Source organism: Homo sapiens, chromosome 3 (genome assembly GCF_000001405.40).
Source record: "Homo sapiens chromosome 3, GRCh38.p14 Primary Assembly".
Classification (NCBI taxonomy): Eukaryota; Metazoa; Chordata; class Mammalia; order Primates; family Hominidae; genus Homo; species Homo sapiens.
Window position 1 is genome coordinate 189,936,339 of NC_000003.12, and position 24,162 is coordinate 189,960,500.

Sequence of the window (24,162 nt, forward strand, 5' to 3'; positions counted from 1 at the left end):
TATCTATTGCATTATACATGACACAAGATCCGGGCACAGAACAATGTGTTAAGATGATGACTCTACCACTGTGCTCACATTTGCCTCCAGGGAAAAGAAGGGCACTCTTGTCTCCAAAATATGTAACTCCTTTTCATCTCAGCCGTTGTGGCTGCACTTTATTTCCTTGTCATGTTAAGCTGAAGAAATAAGAGCAAAGCAAAGGGAATGAGCAAAGATATCACAGCTTTGCTTGTAGTGGTTCGTCTCAGGAGGTGAGAGAAATGGTGAAAATTATTGGGGAAAAAGCAAGACTGACAAGGTAGTGAGAGACACGTGAGTGTCTCCCACAGAGGCCAAACAGGAACACACCCAAGGCTAGGGGAAGTTGGGAAATAAGAAAAATAAAAACAGAAGATAAAACATGAGGGATAGCAACCTTAAAAGACACACATACACACAGATGGCTATTGGGTGGTTCCCAGCCATCCTAGTGAAAAAGTGTATCAAATAATTAAGTTGGCAGATGGAGTAGAAGAACAACCCAGAGCCAGCTTGGGCAGGGCCTCTGACTGTTTCTAAGATAAAGCATCCTGGAACCTTGGGAGAAAAGACACGGCACCTTTTTGGTTTGTTTGTTTTTTGTTTGTTTTGTTGTTTTGTTTTGTTTTGTTGTTTTGTTTTGTTAAGGAGGCCTTAGATTATTCAACTCTTTTTTCCCGTTCTCTCTCTTGTAATGTGCTCTACTACTTGGGAAATAAGAATTTTACTGTGAACAGAGGTAAAATTTTTATTACAATTTTAGAGAATGACATGGCTGAGATCTATGGAATGTTTAGAGCACGAAATGAACTTTAAACACTTGGATTGTTTATTCTATCTTTTCTGTTCCTATTTACTTACTTATATACATGTATCCCCTTAGCTGTCATGCTTTTCACTGCCTGGCAAACTCCTATTCATTTTTCTACACTTAACAATTAATTTAATTCTCATGTAAACCTTCACTTTCCCTCTCAAGTTAAGCTACACCTGACTTTGTCATTCCATGTTATTCCATTCCATGTATATGCCTTCATTCGCAGTGATTACAAGGTGTTTAATATTTTAAGGTTTATCTTTCCCTCTAAGTAGACCTGAGGGCCAGAGCTATCTGATTCATCTTTGTTTTCCCCATGCAAATAATGCAATCCTTGGTACATGAGGAGGGAATAATATATTTAGGGGCAGACGATAGGTACTAATAAAATAAACAAATGAGCAAATGAGTTGGCTGACCTCTTCCCTTCTCTTCCTGAGACTATGGGTGTAATTAGTGCTTTCTAGGGCACTGTGAGGACCTGCCACTCCCGTGCCCTATCCTTGTGACTGGCCCCGTGGGAATTTGCCTGGCTTTTGCTGGATAGGTCACCCTCCTTTTGGCTGGAGAATGATCAGGCCTGGGTGTTGGAAGTCAGATACACCACTGAGTCACAGTACCTCAAGGCACTGTGGTTCCACTCCATGTGTGAAAGGTCTCTCTGCAGCATTCTTGCAAGATGAGTTTTCTAATTAGCTTTCCCTTATAAGGTGCCAGAGGGGATGGTTGGTCAGCATTAGAGCCTACAGATGGGAAAACAATGGCCAAGAGACTTTGCCTAAGGCTACTGGGTGGGCCGAAGCCTTCCAGTTAACATCTGGTGAGAATTTAATGACTCAGTGCTCTATTCTCCACCCAAGGTTCTCTCACCTGCCAGTTCCTTTCATTCTGCTGGGCCTTGACCTCAAGAGCACGAAATTGAGTGTGATGTGATTCTACGACTGTGCTACTGGCTACATTTCGCATTGGTGACAGGAAAGCACGGGCTGAGGTGACTTTGTCTTTAAATGGCTAGAAGAGGGCAGACTGCATCTCTGAGTATCCTTGAACCTAACACCTTTGTTTAGGGTTGCTCTCCAGAAAAAGCTTGAGAGAAAGCCTAACAGTTTGCAGAGTGGTCAAGAGATTGAATAATAACTGAGTAGCAATAATACTCAGATGGGTTATGTCTTTTGACTATTTAAAGGACTTTTGTATACCACTGTATGCAGCCTTATGAAATAAATTGTGTATACACACACACAGACACACACACACACATACATATATCTAGGATAAAATTAATAAATGGTTCAGTGTTAAAGATTGGAAAATATGGGAAGAAAAACAAAAAAATTGACATTTAATGCCATCATCTAGATATAACTAGTATTAATATTTTTGTGTTTCTCTTTTCTATTTTTATTAGATAACATAGTTCCTAATATAGTAAAAAAGTGACAATTAAAATGTTTATTTATGGAGGAGGATCTGAGATAGCAAGACGGCTGGAAGAGTAGTTCAGGAATGGAGAGAGAATCAGGAGTTCTGATGACTTCATGTGTGATCTTGAGTAGATCTTAAAATTTCTCTTAGTCCTTAATTTTTGCCCCTACAGAAGGGCAGGAAATTTGAAGGCAATGTCAATAGAAGCTCAATGCCCTAAGTTGAAGGTTAAACCTTAAATACCAAGAATTAATGTGATAAGAAGTTAGTCTACATGCAGTAGACAAAGACACCAAAATACACCCTTTAACTTCAGAGCTACTGCCAGGATTTCTATGTATCAAGGGACTGTCTTACAAATTAATATATATTTTTTTTTTGAGATGGAGTTTCGCTCTTGTTGCCCAGGCTGGAGTGCAATGGCACAATCTCGGCTCACCACAACTTCTGTCTCCCAGGTTCAAGTGATTCTCCTGCCTCAGCCTCCAAGTAGCTGGGATTATAGGCATGCACCACCACCTCCGGCTAATTTTTTATTTTTAGTAGAGACGGGGTTTCTCCATGTTTGTCAGGTTGGTCTCGAACTCCCAACCTCAGGTGATCCACCCACCTCAGCCTCCCAAAGTGCTAGGATTACAGGCATGAGCCACTGTGCCCAGCCGCAGGAATTAATTATTTACCTGATCCCCATCCTTTTTTTTATGCCCATATTTTCAGGTTGCCAAGGTCTAAGAAAGGAAAGGGATGAGGTAGCTTAAATGACTGTAAGATGAGCAGCTCTTCTATCATTTAAATCCACAAAACTAGGCAACAAGGGAATCATCACATCAACCATCCTACACTAGTAGTTAGCTGTAGTATAAAAGGTAGTTGGCCCGGCGTGGTGGCTCACACCTGTAATCCCAGCATTTTGGGAGGCCAAGGCAGGTGGATCACCTGAGGTCAGGAGTTCAAGACCAGCCTGGCCAATATCATGAAACCCTGTCTCTACTAAAAATACAAAAATTAGCTGGGCATGGTGGTGTATGCCTGTAATTCCAGCTACTTGGGAGGTGGAGACAAGAGAATTGCTTGAACCCGGGAGGCGGAAGTTGCAGTGAGCTAAGATCACACCTCTGCACTCCAGCCTGTGCAACAGAGTAAGACTCTGTCTCAAAAAAAAAAAAAAAAAAAAAAAAAAGAGGTAGTTTTCTGCGTTCAAATTATCTCCCATTTAATGATTTGAACACACCTGTTCTGTGGGCCTCATACCCTCTCCTCTGATGCCCAGACATCACAACAAGAGAACTCTACCTAAAACAGGCAAAGATTGGAGGAGATGAAAAAATGTCCACCCTGAGTCAAAGGAATGGCTCCACCTTTAGGGCATACCTCTCCAGACTGGGAAAGCTAGTTGGAGAAGAACAAGAATAAAGGATATCTGGGTTTTCATTTTTGCCTTGCTGGCCTGTGGTTTCTTGAGATTTTCTTACCATAAATTGCCCGCTATTTAGGAGAGAATTTTGTTTCTGTGGGTTCAAAGAGACCAGGTAGGCTGTGGAAGAAAAAGGCAAGGGCTAGTGGCATTCACTTACTCCTGGGCTCTGAGCTCTGGGCTCTCTCTGGGAGAGAGAGGACCCTTCTATATACTTCTTAGTGTGTAACCCAGTCTAAGGTAGAAACGAAGAAGCTCTCAGGGCAAATGTTCTATCCAGGACATTGGCTGGAGCATTCCTTGTCTTGTATCATATTGTGGATTGGCAGCAAAAGGCAGAGAACAACTTAGGTATATAATTTGCAGAAATATCCAAACATTGTTGTCTGAACAAAACTCTGTTGAGTAAATGGTGATGGTGATGATGGGATGATCATAATTACTATTATTGATGTGTTCTGTATGCCGCTTTACATGCATTATTCTTTCTACAACCCAGTAAAAATAGGTATTATTTCTTCCATTGCACAGAGGAGGAAGATGATGTTCAGAACACAAACAACTCACCCAAAATCCCACAGCTAGTTATTAACCAGGACAGTATTGAGGTTTCCATAGCCTGTGAAATGTCTTTCACTATTTGCTGTTCCTAGTTTTGTGTTAGAGTCTTGGGTTTGGTCTATTACAGAGAATGCAGAATGCAAATTCTGGAGACTCCCCCACCTAACATGTCTGGGCTACTGATCCGAGAAACCCTCACAGGTAGATCTAACTTAACTGGGTACAGCTAGATGGCATTTTGTAGCAAAGGCTGTGAGCCTAAAGGCTGGGGATGGGGAGCGATTCAGCCTTCATGAATTGCAAATAATTTTTCAAGGTATCTTCTTAGGGAAGAAAGAGAGTTGGGGTCTCAGGATGGTGGGGAGAAGGAGCTGTGGTGGGGCCCAGTGTAGAAAGAGGAGGCCTATAGCTATTTTCTCCCTCTGTTAGGGCAGATCTCAGCTCACTTATTTTCCTTCAGCCTCAAACAAGTTGTTTTGTTTTTTTTTAATTTAGGAAAGAGAAAGATTATCTTTAAACAAAAGTGGCACCAATATCCTGCCATCCTGATTAAAAGCAGGATGAAGATAAAATGATTTCTCTATCCCTCATGGCCTACAAAGCCAACGCCTCCCAGGGAAATGGCCTTCTCCCAGCGGCAGCCCAGCTCTTCACCTTTGAAGCTGCCTCTAAACCTGTTTGCTTTTGGAGCTCCAATAAGATTTGTGCTTGCTGCCACAGGCTGGCCCAGATAGGCTGCTCGTGCTGAGACTATGGCTGTCTTCCCGGGTGAACAACAATGACAGTTAATTACATCAACCCAATTAGCAGCAGCATCCACTTTGTGCAAGCAAGGCCCACCTGTGGTCTTACCTATGTCTAGCAAAGGGCCCCCGGGCCTTAGTGGGGAAGCTGGTGAATTGGGAGGCTAGATGTTTAGCAGTGACCTCCTTTCAGAGCCCTCTTTTCTTGGAGATAAGTGAGGGAACTGGAAAAAGACCAATGCCTTACACCATAGTCAGCTAAACAGGCTGCAGATCATAATGGTTTTCAGATTATTCTGCTAGGTAGGAACAGAGTCTTCCCTCAGCACTTAGTGGATGATCAGAGGTGGAACTTTATCAGATTTTGCCTTTGGTAATGAGGCCGTGTTTGCCTTGCCTCTAATAGAACACTAAGAACAAAGGCCTCTCTATGGAAGGTGGGAGGTAGACAAGAGAATGTGACAGCTGTTTTCCTTGGCTCCACACTCATGTTTTCCAGCCTTTACAGGGAATCAGAAGTGCTGGGTTCAAAGGCTAAATCTAATCACCTATTAGCTGCTTACCTTGGGCAAGTTACTTAAACTTTCTGAGCCTTGCTTTTTTATTTGTTAAAAATGTGTCTAGACAAACTGTAGGGGTGGAGAGCAAACCAGTGATTGCCCAGGAATGAGTCAGGAGGGAATGACACAAAGGGCAGCGGGGTGGGTGGGAGGAGGAAAGTTCTGTGTCATGATTACAGTGGTGGTCTCACAGCTCCACGCATTTGTGACCCATAGAAGTGAACCTGAAAATAATGAATTGTACTGTATACACATTTTAAAAGCAAATAAATTCTAAAGAGTGATTAAAATAAGGGTGAGGATAATAATAAAAGATTTGAAAACATCTAGGACAATAAATGGCTCACATGTGTGCTAAATACATATCAATTGCTTTCTTTTCTGAGTCTGTTTCTTCATTCATAAAATGAAAATTAAAATATTACTTCTTATAATCATAAAACATGTTATCTTTGTCATAAGTATGGTATGATTATAGGATTTTGAATGTAAACACTTTATCGGTAGTCAAGATATAGCAATTCATTCATTCATTCATTCATTCATTCATTCATTCATGTTTTTTGAATGCTCTTGTTGGGTTAGGCCCCGTGGTGGGAGCTGCTGTTAAAATTTTAACAGAACCAATCCCTCCCATCCCAATGTAGCTCATAGTCCAGGAAAGAGAGAGTGATGAAAACATGATTGTAATAAATGCTGCATGTGTGAAGTTCCAACAGCTATAGTTGTATATCTAAGAGGCACCTAATGCAGACTCGGAGGACCAGAGAAAACTGCTTGAAAAAAAAATATTATCTAAAAAGAGACATGGAAGGCGAGTAGAAGATAGGCCCCAAAGGAAGCACGGAAAGAGGGAGGGTTTGCAGGCAGACAAGACTATATAGAGAAAGATCTAGAAGGGAGGAAGAACAAGGCTCATTCTGGAACAAAGCATCTTTCAGTCTGGTTGGGGCCGGGGATGATGGTTCATCCTGAAAATTCAAGCCTTAGACGGGGTGTTGGAAGAAGTGACCACTAGAGAGATTTCCACTCCCATAGGCACATAATTTCATAATGACTCTTGGCTCCCTCCTTGTATTCATTTCTAGGCAAGTGGGGTCTCAGCCCTTTGCTTTTCCTCGGGTATTTGGATTGGAACTTAGGGGAAAGTCTCTCTATTGAGCAGTGTGATCTTCTAGGTTCCCTGTGTCTGCTTTTGCATAATCACTCAGGTTCCAGCCTGCAGTCTTCACCGCCAGATAGAAGGTGACAGGAGTCATGGAAAGGATTCACATCCTCTAAGGCTGCTAGATGATGTCAACCCAATTACCAGAGACAGCACTATCTGAACGGCAATGCCCCTCAGGTGTCTGCACCTGTGTGGATCTGGGTGGAATTCTTTAATGTGACATTTGACTGGCAGAAGATCTGCTCCTCCCTGCCTCTTTTGTCCCCTTCTGAAAAGGAAGCAGCATCAGCAGTAGGGCAAAATTCAGACAATTCATAAATAGCCACTTTCCCCAGCCCCAGCCCCTGAACCACAGCAACCTCTGCCTCTAGCCTCCTCAGTTCCTCCTTTAAAACCTTGAGACCTCCTCACAATCCAGGTTGTGGCCCTGGCCCCTGCCCTATGCTTTATTTGTTCTGGTTGTTGAGAATGTACTGCTTGTTATATATTATAAATGTCACCTCTTTGGAGGACAGAGGACAACTGACTGGATGACTGCCCCGGGAAAATCATTTTCTTTTTCTGGGTTACTATGACTCAGTGAAAATAAAAAAGGATTATCATATAGTTAAAATGTAGAGTTACCAGCTTTATTAATTTCTACGGTCTCTTCCACTCTTAGTAGTCTATGATTCTGTAAACTGTGAATAAATTCAGATTCCCATATCGGAGGTCTGAATACTGAGTGCTCATCCAAAGAAAGGAGTAAATAGTCTACATCCGGATATGAGCAGGAACTTCTGCGAATCTTAGATTAATAGAACTTTAGAGCTGGGAGTGAAATCAAGTTCACCCAGCAAGCCTTTTCAGATGTGTTCCACAGAGCTCTAGGAAGACCATGGGGAAAGATGAGAAGGGGTTAGCGGAGAGAGCTCCAAATTCCTGACTCTTGCTTCAGCCCAAGAAGCTCTGATTTTTCCTGCTGTTTACAGTGGTAGTCTGCCTAAGATTTTATTTGACGAAATATTTCTGTGTCTGGCAGACAAATCCTAAAATCCTTATATCCTGACTTGACAACTTGCTCTCAGTAGAGCCTTGAGTATTTACCTCCCAACTTCTCTGAGCCTCAGTTTTCTTGTCTATAAATGGAACCAATCATTCTGGCTCTCGAGGTTTTAGATCAGCACAAAACGTCCAAGAAAATGACTAGCATGAACTAGGCGTTTGGTATCTGTTAGTTGGATCTTAGTCCCACTTATGATTACTTCCTTAAGGTGGAAACCAGGTTCCCAGAGCTGCTCTGTGAAGATTGAAGAGGTTGGTAAACACATAGAGATACACATGAGCACACACACACACACACACACACACACACACACCAGGAACTGCCAAGAGGATATTTTAATAGGGACAATTACATCTGCAACACTTGGCTATCTCTGCATTACCAAACAAGGTGACAACAGCAAAATCCTACTCAACCACAACGGCAGAAGCAGATCGCTCTGATAATCAGTGCAACACCATGGGTTTGGTTACTGCAGGATAACTCTCTGACCTTACTGGGCATCGTTTCCATACAGTAGCTATACAGGGGAAGTTGAATAACCGGTCTTGTTCCTCGCACTCAGGGTGTGGCAGCTGTAGTGCTTACAGTGTCTGTTTCAAATTTACCAGTCCAGTCCCTTCCACCCTCCCCCTTTGCCCTAAAATGGTGGCCAGCTTGTTGCTCCCACCGGAGACAGTGTTGCAGTAGGCAGAAAGTTGTGCGCACGGTGACACTGCTTTCCATTTCCGAAGACGTGATACTCTTCTAAGTGGAACAGCCTAGAACTTAGATGTGTGTTCTCTTAAGCCTTCTGTTCTCATATGACTAATTCGAGAATCCACCCACTCTGGGGGCCATTAGGCGGGTACGAGGAAAGATTTCCAGGCAGTGTTCTCGTCACAAATTGTATCAGTGCAGGGCTTTGTAATCAGATGGGGACTGACTCTCTCTTCCAGGCTGCCAGGGCAACATATCCCTGGGCTGAGGTTCAATCCTAGCCCTGTAACAAATTGACTGTGTCAGCTTGCCCCAGTCACCTGCCTTTTGTGTGTTTCCTCACATATGGAATTCTCATGTTTCTTGTATATATTTTTTTCTCAGTTGGAATTTGCACAATGCTTCTCTTTCCCTTGTTATTGTTTATTGCTTTCGGACCCTGTTTAGCAACAAATTTGGATTCTAGTTTATACTTATTATTGGCTCCTAGACTTTGACAGTACCATTACTTATAGTATTCTCAAAGAGTATTGAGACTAATGCCTTCATTTTTTAGTTGGAGAAATTAAGAATTTGAGTTAGAGGGTAATTTTCTCAGAGCCTCCCAAATCCTGAGTGATTAAGCTAAAATTTGTGACTTTCAGTCAGTTGTCCTTTCCAATGTGTTTGTTCACTCTTTCATTTAATTGTGTGTACATTAATTAATTACTCATTTAATTAATAGTTATGCATTTCTTATCTGTGTCATGTAATATTTTAAACTGTGGAAATATAGCAATGAATGGAACTCTTGTCTTAGAAACTTTATTCTGGGCAGAAGGAGGTAGTCAATAAATCAAGTTAGATTACACATAAGTAGGAAGTTATGATATTAAGGGTTATGAAGAAAATAAGCAGAAGGCTGAGGTGTGCAGATCAACTGAGGTCGAGAGTTCAAGACCAGCCTGACTAACATGGAGAAACCTCGTCTGTACTAAAAATACAAAATTAACCAGGCGTGGTGGCACGTGTCTGTAATCCCAGCTACTCAGGAGGCTGAGGCAGGAGAATTGCTTGAACCCAGGAGATGGAGGTTGTGGTGAGCCGAGATTGCACCATCGCATTCCAGCCTAGGCAACAAGAGTGAAACTCCGTCTCAAAAAAAATAATAAAATAAAGAAAAAAAAAAGAAAAAATTAAGCAGAGAGAGGGAGTGAGAATGCTGACTGCAGGAGTTCAGTTGTAGAGAGAGGTCATGGCGGACCTCCCCAGGAAGGTGATCTTTGATCTCAACTAGATAGACATGGGGAATGAGCCACGTAGACACCTGAGGGAAGAATGGCTCAGGCATAAACAACAGTAAATGCAAAGCCCTGAGGCTGGAGCATGCTAGGCAACAGGCATGTTCTAGGAAGAGTAAGGAGGCCAGTGCCACTGCAGCCAACTAAGCAAGGGGAGAGTATATAGGATATAAGAACAGAGAGGTAGCTGCCTCAGGTCTTGGTGGCTGTTCTAATGACTTAGCCAATGAGATGCAAAACCAATGAAAGATGTTTGAGCAGAGGAATGACATAAGCTAATTTATGTTTAAAAGGATACCGCTGGCTTTTTGGTTGAGAATACACCGAAAGAGGACAAGAGTGGAAGCAAAAAGAAAAGTTAGGAGGACACTGCAGTAATTCAGCAGAGAGATAGATGATGGTGGCTTAGACGAAGATGGTGAGAGTGGTGATGGCACAAAGTCCACTACCATGGACAGCAGAAGACATGAATATAAACTCAATAATGAGGGGTGTGAGAAGGGTAAGGAAGGGTGGGTCTGGACTACTCTGCAGAGAGACCGAACTTAGCCTAGGAGTACATGGCATCAGAGAAGGCTTCCTAGAGGAAGAAATATTCCAGACCTAAGCCACAACATGATGTAGAGTGACCAACTGTCCAAGTTTGGTTTTCAGACCCCTCGGTCCCAGGGAAAGTGGGATGGGTGACCACCCACGGTCGGAGTTTCCTGGTGAAACCAGAGTGGTGGTGGGAGGACAGTGTTTTCAGCAGAGAGAATTGAATGTAAACATCTGAGAGACAAGAGAGGGCCATGCTACAGGGTAGGGAATAAAGAGGAGGAAAGTGGCAGCATGCAGGGTTGAGGAGGTAGGCAAGGGCACCAGCGTACGGCGAGGAAGCCAGAAGATCGCTGGGATTTGTTTCTACATCATTGGAAGGGTTTTAAGCAAGGAGTGTTAGCACTAACAACTCAGTGTTACCTGTCACCTCTGTTAATTTACCTGTAGAAGAGCTATTACAAGTAATTTATAAGTTTTCAGGTAAAGAAAAAGATGACAAGCAAGAAATCACTAAACAGAGTAGGAAATACATTTATACGAAAACATTCCAGCTAAGTGTTCAGTTGCTACTTGGGAGTCCTTCTGTGTAATAAGGTCAAATTCCCTATGAAACTAGTTGATGTTTTCCCTCGTTTCTCTGCTTGCATCACTGACATCATTATTTTCTTAGGCTCAACAGCTCAGAGACATAATTTTTATCTTTTCTTCTTGGTGACTCTGACAGCCTCCAAGTTCTGATTTGTTTTTCCTTCAGGATGTCTCTGCTTAGTCCTTTACCCGCAAGTTCCACGGCTGCCAGCCTGCCTCAGGCTTCCTCACATGTGCCTTGGCAGTGGTGGACTAAGCTAGGCAATCAGTAGGATTGGATACCCCTGGGTGCAGGCAATGACGAGGTGTTGTCTTTAGAGGTCTAAAACCAATACAAAACCAATTCGAAATTAGCCTGCCTTGTATTATTTCTATGTGCCAGCAACTATAGACAATGACAAAGATAAAATCTCCTTCCCACTGGGGCAGACTACTCCCAAATTCCCTCCCACTCAACTCTTGATTAGTGTAACATTTGCTTTATTGGTATCCCTGACAATTGACCTTTTTTCCTCCAATCCTTCTCAGGCTGACTTTGTTAATCTAACAACTACAATCTATAACCACCTGTGTCGAGCTCTCCCAAACTTCAGAATCCTCCCTGAGGTTTACAGGATCAAGCCCCAATGCCTCAGTTTAGCTTTCGATCAAGCCCTCGGTAACCTGTAGGTAGCCTAACAGCTGTGACTTTTCCTTTTAATTTCACATCCCAAACCCTCTTTTCCAGAGGAGTCTATGTTACAAATTTATGGTTTCCTGCTGCAGTAGCAGGGAGGAAAACCAGTTTTGGATCCCAGCAGTACTAGTGACTGTGTGAGCTTAAGCTAGTCACTTTCCCTCTAAAAGCCTTGATTTTCTCATAGTAAAATTAGGATAATAATACCTATAGAGCTGAAGTCACAGGATTACAGCAAGGGCAAAATGACATCATGGTTGTGAAAGCAGCTACCCGTGTGAGCCACGATGACTATTATAAGCAGTAGAGGTAAGTAATACTTGTCAGGGTAGTGGTTGTCAACAATTAGTGTTGATATTCATGGCAATGCATGACTTACTGATTTTTTTAATGTTGTCTATTTTATCTTTTATATATTTTATCTTTACCACTCCATATCATACTCGTCATTTAAGAAACAACTCTAGACTAACTTCCTGCCAAATACTTCCTGGGTCACACTAGCCTACCGAACTGAACTCTGCTGTCCTCAAAAACCTCCAAAACATATACCCTTTGCATTCAGGCATGTACCACATGTATCATTTCATATCATGTTCCCACCTGGACTATAAATGCAACATCTCATGCTTGTTTAGCATTTCTCTAAATGCTGAGAACATAGTAGATGTTAAATCAAGACTTGCTAAAATGAACGAATGAATGAATGCATAGAGGCATCTTTCTTTTTTATTTTTAACCCCTCACAGCAAAATATGCTAATAGTGCCCTCTGCTGCTGACTAACGATTCTGTTTTTTACACAGTTGAAAAGCAAGTGACAGAAAGCTCAGTAAAAGGAAATAGGTAAAAATTGTGTCTTTCAAGGTGCTTGGCACAAACAAAGTAGCTGTAATGTCACAGTGCAGACAGAAAGCTAGGCTGTCAGAAGGACCAAATGAGGTGGCTGCAGACAAGACAAGCCTCTCTTTTCTGGACTGCTGATTGACAACCAGCTTGGAGTTCAAACACTCTCAATTTTGTAATTTTGTAACAAGTTTCTCTTCTCCTGTGCCCCTGCCCTAGCAATAAGTGTGTTATATATGATCAGACTATTTCTAAATGTAACTGTATGAAAATTAACCTTGAAGGTTCTGAGGTTGATCAAGGGATAATGCACTAAAAAAAAAAAAGTCATGAGAGCAGGTGAAATATTGCCAGAGAATTCACAGTCCTATTCATTTTCCTTCATTTTAGGTGTTCTGATATAGTCACAAGTCATTGTCTTTTAATGATTACCTGCTATGTGTTCGGCTCTCTTTTTATAATCTCAATTAATCTTTCTTCTTTTCTTTCTTACTCTTTTTCTTTCTTTCTTTTTCTTTCTTCTTTCTCTTTCTTCTTTGTTTCTCCTTTCTTTCTTTCCTTTCTCCTTCCTTCCTTCCTTCCTTCCTTCTTTCCCTCTTCCCTTCTCTTCCCCTTCCCTCCCCTCCCCTCCCCCACTCCCTGCCCCTCTCCTCCCGTCCCCTCCCCTTCCCTTCCTGACAGTATCTCCATATGTTGCCGAGCCTGGTCTCAAACTCCTGGCCTCAAGTGATCCTCCAGCCTTGGCCTCCTAAAGTGCTCAGATTACAGGCATGAGCCATCATGCCTGGCCAATGAAATCTCTAGATAACTTATGAAATAGATATTACCAGCCTTTTCTTTATAGATAAAGACACTGAACAGATGTGCGTTAAAGGCCAGTAAAAGGCAGAAAGGGCTGCAAGTCCATGGTAACACAGTCTGCACTCTTCTCTGCAATTCCATAGCTTCTCAGTGTGGTCTGCCGCTCTAGGAGTCAGAGGAGCTGGTTTTGAGTCCATATTTCTACCACTAACATTTCAGTAAAGTTGAGTAACTCACATTTCTCCACCTCTAAAATAAAGGGCATAAGGTCAGGTGCTTTCTAAGGTCCCTTCCAACTTGGAGTCAGTTGTTTGCAGTGTCGTTCACTTGCTAAGCTATAAATACAAAGCACAATTGTGGCTATGATTCTTCCTTGGGGTCCCTACCATGGACTTGATCTTCCCTGTTTAGCCTGCTCTGATGAGTTAAACGTTGACCTCAGATCAATAATGAAAAGCCCTCTGTGCTGACGTTGATGGTCATTCAAATATCATTCTATTTAATTTGTAAATCCTTCTACACATAAATGACATGTTTTGACCACAGAGTTCAAGGCATGATAGTTTATTTCATGCTGATTCTGAAGGTAGGGCAGTTTTCAGTTTTGGCACGCCAATTTGTCACATTTGACATTTTTGACAATCAGCCTTTAGCTGGTAAGTGGCTTGGTGGGCAACGTGTCCCTAGTTAATAGGCACACCCCGATAGCTCACAGTCTCCGGGGACAGCCATCTCTGCAGCATGCCTAGCCTTTGAAGCGGCTCACGCGTTCTTCAAAGCAAACTTTCTGGTACAGGGAGCAACATCTGATGTACTTTTATTACCCTTAGAGACAAAAAAAACATCACTCAGAAGCCAAACGTCTGCAAGGAAAAATCTGTACCCTGTGCTTAGCCCTGCGGCCTGGAAGTTCAGAGAAGGCTGAAAGTGCTCCCTGTGAGGAAACCAGGGCATGTTTAGACAGAGCTTTAATCATGTCTAACCAACTCAGAGCAGTGGCAGCAGCCATCTTGCTGAAGATGTCGCCTCCTTCTGGATTTGCACTGGAGTGTGGGGGAGTGGGTGAGATCTAGTGTCAGATAAGCTCATAATAATTCCTACTGCTTCCTAGTTATTCAAAACATCAAAACTGCAAAATCTTCTTAGAGAGTTCAGCAACTTTTTTTTAACTCGAGGAACTGACATCTACTGACTTTGACTTCTGTCAAATTATTTATCTATTCTGGTGTTTTATTTTTTCCACTATATGAGAATAATCATCACATCTATTGGGATGTCGTGAAAAACTTAGTGAACCCAATGCTAAACGATGAAGTGGACTACTTTCCCAGAAATCTTTACTCTGTCTAGGCAAGGGAGCTTCAACAATACCGCCCATGCCTGTTCTTTACTTAATACTAAGTAGCTAAAGTTAGAATAAATTGCAGATTAAGACCACTGAGAATCCAGCTGTCCTAAAAGATGTTTACACCTTTATCTGGGATGCTGAAGGGTTGAAAATCTCCAAGTAGTCTTTATTTAATTAACCAATGTTAACTTCAAAGAAATATAATTCTGGTTCATATTACCTTGTGAAAAAAAAGTCCTGAAATTCTGAACTTGAAATATAATAAAAATTCTAGCATCTATTCAGTAAATGTTGCTAAACACTGGACTATCGTGATAGACCAGAATATTACTCCAGTGACCGGAAGCCTTGAAGTCAGCTTCTGAGCCTCAGGGACTCTATAATTTATTCTAAATCTAAGTAGTCTGATTGCCTAAGACCTTCAAAGGCATTTGCAAAGTTTAACACACCAAAAAACAGGTACAGAGAACAAAAAGGGTGATTGGATGCTTGTTGCTTTATGTCCTATTTGACCCTTTGGTTTTAAATGAGGTAAATTGCTCCAATTAACTCCTGTTGGAGATGGTTTTCTTTCAATGATTCCTTCTGTTCCTTGTTTGACATTGGAAAAGATGTCATTAGTAAAGCATTACATGGCTTTCGGGTTTTATTAAAAGACTGACTGAGTTTACCAAATGCTAGGCTTTTCAGACAACATACCTGTGTGCTGCAATATTGTCATTATTCCCATTTCTGATACGAAAGTCTAATAATTTGAGTGAAGTAGATTAGTTCCAGGTCATGTAGGGTAGAAAGTTTCATGGACTTATGGGCAGAGGAATATGCTGCTGGTAGAGCCCATTGACTTTAGTCTCAACGATGAATTCACGTCAGCTATTTCTGATAGTAGCTACTCCTCTGCTTTTCAGAAGGAAGCTCAGTCCTTCAGGGCTTTCACACTACCCACTTGAATAATACCTCCCTTGCAAGTGAATACAATAAAACTTACTCTTTAACTGGTATTTATTAAGATTTTCACAGCATTCATTAAACTGCTTTCCGAAGGCTATCTCATTCCACTCCACCCCAAAACACCAACTTTCTGAACTCTCATTTTCTCCGAAGGCTCAGTCCTTTAGAACCCAAGAAATCATTCAGTTCAAATGCAACACTTTTCAGCTGAGGACACTGTGATGCAATGAGAGGTTAAGTGGCTCATTCCCACGTATTGGTGGCAGATCAGTCAGGCCAGATCCAGCTCACCTGTCACCTTCTCTCCAACTTTTCCCTACCACTAACCACTCCTTTCCCACTTGCATGACCTTTCCTCCTACCCCTATCACAATCCTCTGCCGTAACATTCACCTTACTTTAAGTTGATCATTTGTTTACATCTGTTTTTTTCCACTTTGAGTTCCTTAAAAGAAGGGATAACATTTTATTCATCTTTAAATGCCTCCCTAAGCCTACAACGGCACGGCCACTCAAAAACTCTCTGTGAAATGAATTCATACATGACCAGGGCTTTACGACATCACCTTCTCTGTGCCTGTTTGTTTTTTCCCATTTACACAATGAAGATGGCATTGACGTGTCTCTCAAGATAATTATGTAGTTACATATGATTGCTACGTGCTTCAAGACCATAAAAAAGCTTTATAAAGCCAACCACGATTACAACCTTTGAAACAATGGAATATACGATTAACAAGTGGAAAGAGATGAGACATACCAGGTAATGCTTATTGTCCATTCCCTATTTCTACCTCCACCCACCACCAGGTAGTAACTCAGAGGTAAAAACATAAACTTGGAATAAGAGAGGAGGGTTTACCTCGGGTCTGGATAAGATTATTAGGACCGATGTCATCACGCTGCCGTCATGCGGGAAGGCACCTAGGTCTGATGAGAGAGGCCCAGGGCAAGATTCCCATATATATAGGTAACACTCAATTCACTGTTGAAATGAGGCTCAAATCAAGAAGGCACGTGGCCTTATCTATTCGAAATTGATTCGTCCTTCAAAAGCAGAAGATATCAGATAATTATAAAAGGGACTGTTAAGGTAGAAAGACTGTCAAACTCTAGGCTACCCTGGCTCTCCTCTGTGGCCATTCTACCAAAATAAAGAGAGGGGGTACAGCATGTCTTATTCACCTTTTGTTCTCCCTTCTCCTAAATGTACCATATAAAATGACTAGAAAACATGTGTCATATGTTGACTAAACGAAGCATTCATTTAGATTTTCCTCCCCAGCAACATGTCTGGAAAAAAAATGATAGGAACATCTTGTTTGGTTATTTTTATTGCGGGCCCTTAATAAGATAGTTGAAGCCAGAGGTGCCTCATTAACCCAACTTTTTACAGCTGATGCCATCCATTGTAGAGTGAAACAGAATCAATAGTCAGATTGTTCCCAACTTGGCTTTGCCCAGCCTCGGAGGTCAGCAGTGGGCACAGAAAACACTGTGAATTACAAGGAGGAGGAGGTAAAGGGGAAGCTCTGACAGAATGAGTCTGCAGCTCCAACCCAGCAGTGAGCTCAATGAGTGGCTGATGTTACTTGTTTTGATGTGTTTGAAGAAATCAACCAGGTTCAGGAGAAAAAAAAAAAAAAAAAAAGTCTATATGCCTCCTGTTGGAAACATCAAATTATCAGGGAGTAGAGGATTTGTGGGTGGGCAGTTGGAACTATGTGAGACGTCATTTCACATCACAGCCTTCTTGGCAGGAGGCAGAGAGGGCTTGTAACACGGACTTGTGGTCTGGAGTTTTTGCCAATGGCTCCTGTTTCCCTAAAGTGCTCTGGATGTGGGAACAGGTCAACATTTTCCCACTTCTCAGCCATACCACTGTCAGTCAGCTCAGAATGTTCAATGCTTTGGCATAAGGAACTGGTGAGGCGGCCCCCATTACCTCCTTTCTTGACGTCAGTGAGGGAGTCATTCCCTGTGGTTCTCTTGTGTGAAATAATTCAGCATTTGTACTTCAATTAAAATTCACAGGTATATATTATTAAATAGCACTGACTCATTCCATGGCTTCTCCTCAGCTGAGGAAGTGCCAAAAATGTTATGATGTCAATGATGAAGAGTGCATTAAAAGTCTTAAGAGTGCGTTAAAACTGAGATTTCCTTGTCAAACAATGTAGGTTCGGGGCTGTGAAGAAAGCACTTCGCCCATCCACAGTATCACTCTGTCCTGTGTCAGATTTTTCTAAAGAAGAAATTTAAGTTCAAGATTCTTTTTGCCTTTGAGGGAGAGAAAAATGATACCTGACTAGAATCCTCTTCCCTTTTGTGAGCTTCATAAAAGCAGTTCAAGGCTCAAGGTATGTCTTTAAAAATAGGGCTGAATCAAATTGAATAATACAACTCGTATTCAATATATCACAGAGGAGAGAAGAGGAAGTATGCCAACATACATCCCTCAGCAGGAAAATAAAAGAGGAGAAAAAGGTTTTCTTGATTTGGTAAAATCAGACTTTTTTATTCACATTTATTATTTTATATTTAATATGCCTAGAAGCACGGCCAGGGGAGCAACAACCCTGGTGCTCTTTTCTCCCTTCTGACCCAAAAGACTGTGCTTCTAGCTCAGACCTGGACACTCTGAGCCACGTGACCCCAGGTAATCACCTCTCTCCACTGCTCTCCATGTCCTCATCTGCAAAATGGACATCACGATCCATGCCCAGAATACCTCCTGGGGTTCCCAGTGTGTGAACATGCTCTGTGTCATAAGCATTCAAAACAATAATATAGGTGAAAATAAAAGCTTTGTGAGCTGCAGACTTTTCACACAAGGGAAGGATCATCACCAAGACCAACGGTAATTCCTCAGATAACACAGATGAGATGTACTATTCATACACATTGGACTATTTAACCTAGGCTGACTCAAGCACATTCAGCACTTCGTGAGAATTAGAAAAGACACCCTTTCTGGAAAGATATAGCCCTGCAGGTCCATAGATTGGTAAGCAAGTACCATCTCTGGGCAAATAGAATAAGACATCCCTTCCACCAGCTGGACAAAGCCCTGTGCCAGGGTTCCAGCCCCCATGTACACTCCCACAGGCATTCTTGCATAACCAAGTTCAACAGTCCTGGCTTTAGCTCTGGCTCTGTTGCTCAAATTCTGTAACCATGGGATCATCTTTACCACCTCTAAGCCTCACTTTCTACCCAAAAAGAAAGATGAAATTGAACTGTGATTTCTACGCCCTCCTTCAGCTGTAAAAGCAACAAATGTCCTAATGGGCTTTTCCATCCTTCTACACAAGGGATTATGTGCCATACGAACTGCAATTTCTAAGCTTCACTTTTTTTTAAGTTGTCTGATGACACTCCCTAAATATTTGAATGAAATTATGTATGGTTTGATGTGGAGCAGATTAAGAAGTAAATGCTTTAGTGTATACATGATGTTTCAGGTGTAAAGCAACATGGTTAACCGGCAAAACAAGAATAACTACCCTGTGTTGTCAGCAAATGGCACAAGATGTGGCTCTAACACAACATCTATTCGGCCTTCACCCACTTTCTGTGGGACTGAATATAAGAATCAGTGATGAAGTCCCTGCCCCTCCCCTAGTGCCCATCGCACCCAGGAAGTGGGAACTTTAAGGAGCCAAACAAAGACTGTTTCTATGTTGATGCCTTGTTGCCAGAAAACAGAAATCAGATCCTCACCCAGATCCTCCAATCAGCAAATCTGAGTGCCAACAAGCTCTTCACAGTGGGAGGACAAATAGCAATCTACCTTTGCAAAGCTCAAGAACTTTTAGGTCTAAATTTGGGTTTACGTTTTTAAAAATCAGGTACACACATAAAAAACCCATTCACGGCCGGGCACAGTAGCTCACACCTGTAATCTCAGCACTTTGGGAGGCCAAGGCGAGTGGATCACCTGAGGTCAGGAGTTCGAGACTAGCCTGGCCAACATAGTGAAACCCCATCTCTACTAAAAATACAAAAATTAGCTGGGCATTATGGCAGGCGTCTGTAATCCCAGCTACTCAGGAGGCCGAGGCAGGAGAATTGCTTGAACCCGGGAGGTGGTGGAGGCTGCAGTGAGCTGAGATCACACCACTTCACTCCAGCCTGGGCGACAGTGAGACTCCGTCTCAAAAACAAAACAAAACAAAACAAAACCATTCACAACTCTCTAAATGTTAGCAGAAATAAATTTGGTTGTGACTATTTCTAAAATGGTTTTGGTTTCTTTTTTTTCTTTTTGCTTTGTTTGTATTTTGAGTAGGAGGGAGGGCCTTGTTACAATCAATTATGTCATTTTCAGAGAAGGGAACTAAAGTCTGGAAAGGGAAAGAGAGTAGTTCCATATCACACAGCAGGGCATATTTGATAGAACTGGGAGGATAATCCAATGCTCTTTCCACTCTCCCATGATTAAAATACAACCAGAAGGTTCAGTAAAAAACAGATGGTTCATACATCACTAACTCAAATTTTCAATTTCAATGGATGAATGTTCTTACCACTCACCAGATTGTAAACGGCAGAAAGTAAATCTTCCCTCCACCACTGCCCGTCATAAAAGCATGTGATCTCCCACGGGCGAATGATAAAGTCTCCCCTAGGTTAGAAGAACCCCATCCCCCATGAACTATGCCTTTGTAGTGTCTTTCTTAGAAGTGGGACCTGGAACCAAGCATTCTCTGGATCAATGCCCAGTTTGGTCTCCATCTCTGTTCTTCAAGAGCAGTGTCCCCACCTTTCCTGAGGCCACTGCACCAGCAACACTAGTCATGTCCCAATGTTGCCCCTAAAGTGGTCCCAAAAGCTCCTATGTAATTACAAAACCATTCTGTGAAGATAAAGCAAACATTTGGGAGAACAAAAATAAATGCCAGATATTAAAATAAGCCTCCCTTTATTAAACAAATCAGACACAAGCACAAATCTGTGTGCTGGATAGCAGCAATGAGGAGGGGCCCCCAAAATATAAGCAGATGACGGTTAAAATCAATCAGAAATTTATTTTTCTTATGTAAGTACAAAACACCTCTTTTCATCAGTGGACCCCACTCCTAGGCAACCTGGCCATGGTGCCCGGATGCAGGCAGTATTCAAGAGTTTCTTCCAAAGTCACCAGGGTGAAAAGCCATTCTACTACAACCTCTACATGACCTTTTAAAGTGTACAACTTATAGGACAGTCCTTTCTGGAGTACTGTGGAGGGTGAATCAAAGCTTCCAGTGTAAGTTTATTGTCTGGCGAAAACACCAGAGCCAAAAATTCCACCAAGGCCCTGGAAAGACTGAAGTCCCCTCTGTCTCATACAGTAATCATCCATGAGATCTCCCGGAGCCTGGGTGATCATTACGCCCATGATACCTGAGGCAGCGTGGACTCTGCCAGGGGCTCCTCAGACCCAAAGTGGAGCTCACTTTGGAGAGTCGGAGCTCATGGCCGTTAGCACCTAAGGATGTGGCTGAAAGGCACAGAGCAAGAAAGGGCTTCAGAGACCAGGCACAGGTTAATTTTAGAACTGGAGCACACGTGAGAGTTGTAGTTTCACCACCAAGAAGCTTATTCTCTCTAAGCTTTTGAATTTGCAGCAACTTAATTGTGTGTGTGTGTGTGTGTGTGTGTGTGTGTGTGTGTGTTTGGGGGAGGAGGTGAACTGGGCTTTGATAGATACATGAAATGATGAAAAACCAAGAAAGAGAGCTGGGTGTGGTGGCACGTGCCTGTGGTCCCAGCTCCCCGGGAGGCTTGAAGGATCGCCTGAGCCTAAGAGTTTGAGGCTCCAGTGTGCTATCATCACATCTGTGAATAGCCACTGCCCTATATCCTAGACAACATGGTTAGACCATGTCTCTAAGAAGAGAGAGAGAGAGAGAGAGAGAGAAAACAACCCAAAACAAGAAAGATAGATTGATAGATTGAGGCAACACAAGCATCCTTAGGAAGAGAAGGAAGATCTGATGACTGACATTAACCTGTTAATTTATACCATGGCTCTGTACAAAAATAAAAAGGTTCTCATAAGATTAACAATTTAAATAAATATTTGATAGAACATTCTTTCTCATTTTTATAGCTCATCTTTAGGGTTGATATTCAGTTCATGCTTCCCTTGCTGTTCTTGATCCAGAATTGCAATCACTTCATCAGCCTGTATTCGCTCCTGCAAAAAAGACAATTTACACATTTCTGTTACAAGCATAATAATCAGTCTCATCAGCAGACGCTTCCCAAACACTTCCTGGCATCCATCTGTACATGGGTTGATGCTATATCCAGTTAAGCATTGAACACCTCCTCTTCATCCCCAGACAGATGCCTTCTCCTAACATTCCTGGGTCCTAAGCAATTACTTTCTAAGATTTTCTCTCCTGCAAAGAACGACTGTATGTTCAACTGCTTCCTACTCTTTCTAATTCATGGCCCCATAGCCATCTCCAACTCAGTTCAGTGGTCAAGCTGAATTCACCATTTTCTCCCCAAGAACCTGCTCTGTTCTTCACGTAGGCTCTCTCTCGGTAAAGACCAACATCGCTCACCTATTTGCCTTAAAAGCCCGACCATGGTTTCCTGCATCTGATAAGTCACCTATTCTGTTCTATCTGCTGTCTCTGCCCCTTTCTCCTCAATGCACTATTGTTGCCGGAGTTTAGGTCAGGGTTTCTCAATTTTGGTCTGATTGACATTTTTAGACCAGATAATTATTTGTTGGGGGGTGGGAGGGTGGTGCTGCCCTGTGCCCTGCAGGATGCTCAGCGACACCCCGTCCTCTCTACCTACCACAGGTGTCAGTAACAACCTCCCCCACCAACCCCCAGATATTGCCAAATGTCCACTAGAGGGCAACATTGCTCCCTCTTTTTTTTTTTTTTTTTTTTTGAGATGGAATTTTGCTCTTGTTGCCCAGGCTGGAGTCCAGTGACGCGATCTCGGCTCACTGCAACCTCTGCCTCCCGGGTTCAAGCGATTCTCCTGCCTCAGCCTCCCAAGTACCTGGGTTTACAGGCGCTCACCACCATGCCCGGCTAATTTTTTATATTTTTACCATGTTGACCAGGCTTGGTCTCAAACTCCCGACCTCAGGTGATCCACCCGCCTCGCCCTCCCAAAGTGCTGGGATTACAGGAGTGAGCCACTGCACCCGGCCAATCGCTCCCTCTTGAGAGCCACCATTGTAAGCCCTCATCATCTCTTAATTACTGCCGCAGCCTCCAAATTGCTCTCGCTGTTTCACTACTCACCCTCACATGCTTCTAATGAATCCTACTGGCTTATATCTGATTATATCTCTTTCCTACTCACAGCTCTTCAATGGGTCCCTACTGCTTGAAGTTTCAGGTCTACTTTTCTTGGTGTGCTTATAAGAAGTTGCTTTACACCTGTCTCTTCTTTTTTTTTTCTTTTATTTATTTATTTATTTTTTATTATTATACTTTAAGTTTTAGGGTACATGTGCACAATGTGCAGGTTAGTTACATATGTATACATGTGCCATGCTGGTGCGCTGCACCCACTAACTCGTCATCTAGCATTAGGTATATCTCCCAATGCTATCCCTCCCCCCTCCCCCCACCCCACAACAGTCCCCAGAGTGTGATATTCCCCTTCCTGTGTCCATGTGTTCTCATTGTTCAATTCCCACCTATGAGTGAGAATATGTGGTGTTTGTTCTCTCTTCTTATTCATACCTTTCTCTCTTCTTTAGGTTTATTTTGCCTCCCTTCTCCTCACCTTATATTCCAACTTCTTAACTTACCTCAAGCTCCCTGAATGTAACACTTTCAAAAGAATTCCCTAATCCGATTCTGAATTAAGTGTTTCTCTGGATGCTCCCATTATATTCTACGCTTTCTTTTATTCCTCACATTAATCCATCAGCAGGTGCAGCTGGTCTACCTCCAAATTGTATCTCAAATCTTCCATCTCTTTTTACCTTCTCTATTACTACTCCAGTCCAAGACCACATGTTAGCTAAAGTAATCTTCTGTATCCTGTAACTCTCCAGGACTGGAGGAGATATGTGTGTGTGTGTGTGTGTGTGTGTGTGTGTGTGTGTGTGTGTGTGTGTGTGTTGGGGTGTGGGGACTACATGACTTTCCACTAGTTAGAATACAATTCGCATTTCCCAATCAGCCTGTGGAATCCGACTCCTGCCGCCTCCACGTCCTCTACTGAAGCCACTCTCCCTCTTGTCTGCCATATTCCAGATGCTCTGGCTTTCTTTGTTTCTTGGTGACTCCAAACATCTTATTGTCTCTGGGCCTTTGCAGCTTGTCCTCTGCCTGGAATACTCTCCTCCAGACATTTATCCTAGTGGACTTCTAATTTATTAGGTTTCAGCTCACATGCCACTTGTTTGGCGAGGCCTCACAATTTGCCGCTCCTACCCTTTCACTCCAGAATCAGTTGTCTTGTTCCATTTTCCACACATCATTGGTCACCGTGTGAAAAATCTCTCGATTATTTATTTATTTTTTACTTTTTTGGGATCTGTTTCCTTCCACTAGAATGTAAGCTCCAGAAGAGCAGGGCATCTTATCTTCTTGGTCACTACTGTATTTTCAGTGCTCAGAAAAGCCACTGACATGTGGCAAGAGTTCTATTTTCTTTGATGAGTAAATGTGTAAATGGATGAAGCCTTTCTCTGTCTAAAATGCCT

The 24,162-nt window shown here is 42.4% G+C and overlaps 1 protein-coding gene across 2 annotated transcripts in view, besides 1 other annotated feature; it reads right to left on the reverse strand.

Annotated features, from left to right (window-relative positions):
* Positions 912-2,111: an enhancer, noted in NCBI's record as "P300/CBP strongly-dependent group 1 enhancer chr3:189655039-189656238 (GRCh37/hg19 assembly coordinates)". NCBI's record gives its function as "activates an origin of replication core promoter dependent on BRD2, BRD4, P300/CBP, MED14 and CDK7 cofactors, with strong dependence on P300/CBP, by STARR-seq in HCT116 cells {active_cell/tissue: HCT116}" and the evidence as "EXISTENCE:reporter gene assay evidence [ECO:0000049][PMID:35650434]".
* The window catches only part of P3H2 (prolyl 3-hydroxylase 2), a 165,551-nt gene continuing 161,778 nt past the window's right edge, over positions 20,390-24,162 (reverse strand). For both annotated transcript variants that reach the window (NM_001134418.2, NM_018192.4), the window contains exon 15: positions 20,390-21,666. In NM_001134418.2, coding sequence (NP_001127890.1) covers positions 21,574-21,666 — 93 coding nt within the window. In that variant the 3' untranslated portion in view covers positions 20,390-21,573. The remainder of the gene's footprint in view (positions 21,667-24,162) is intronic.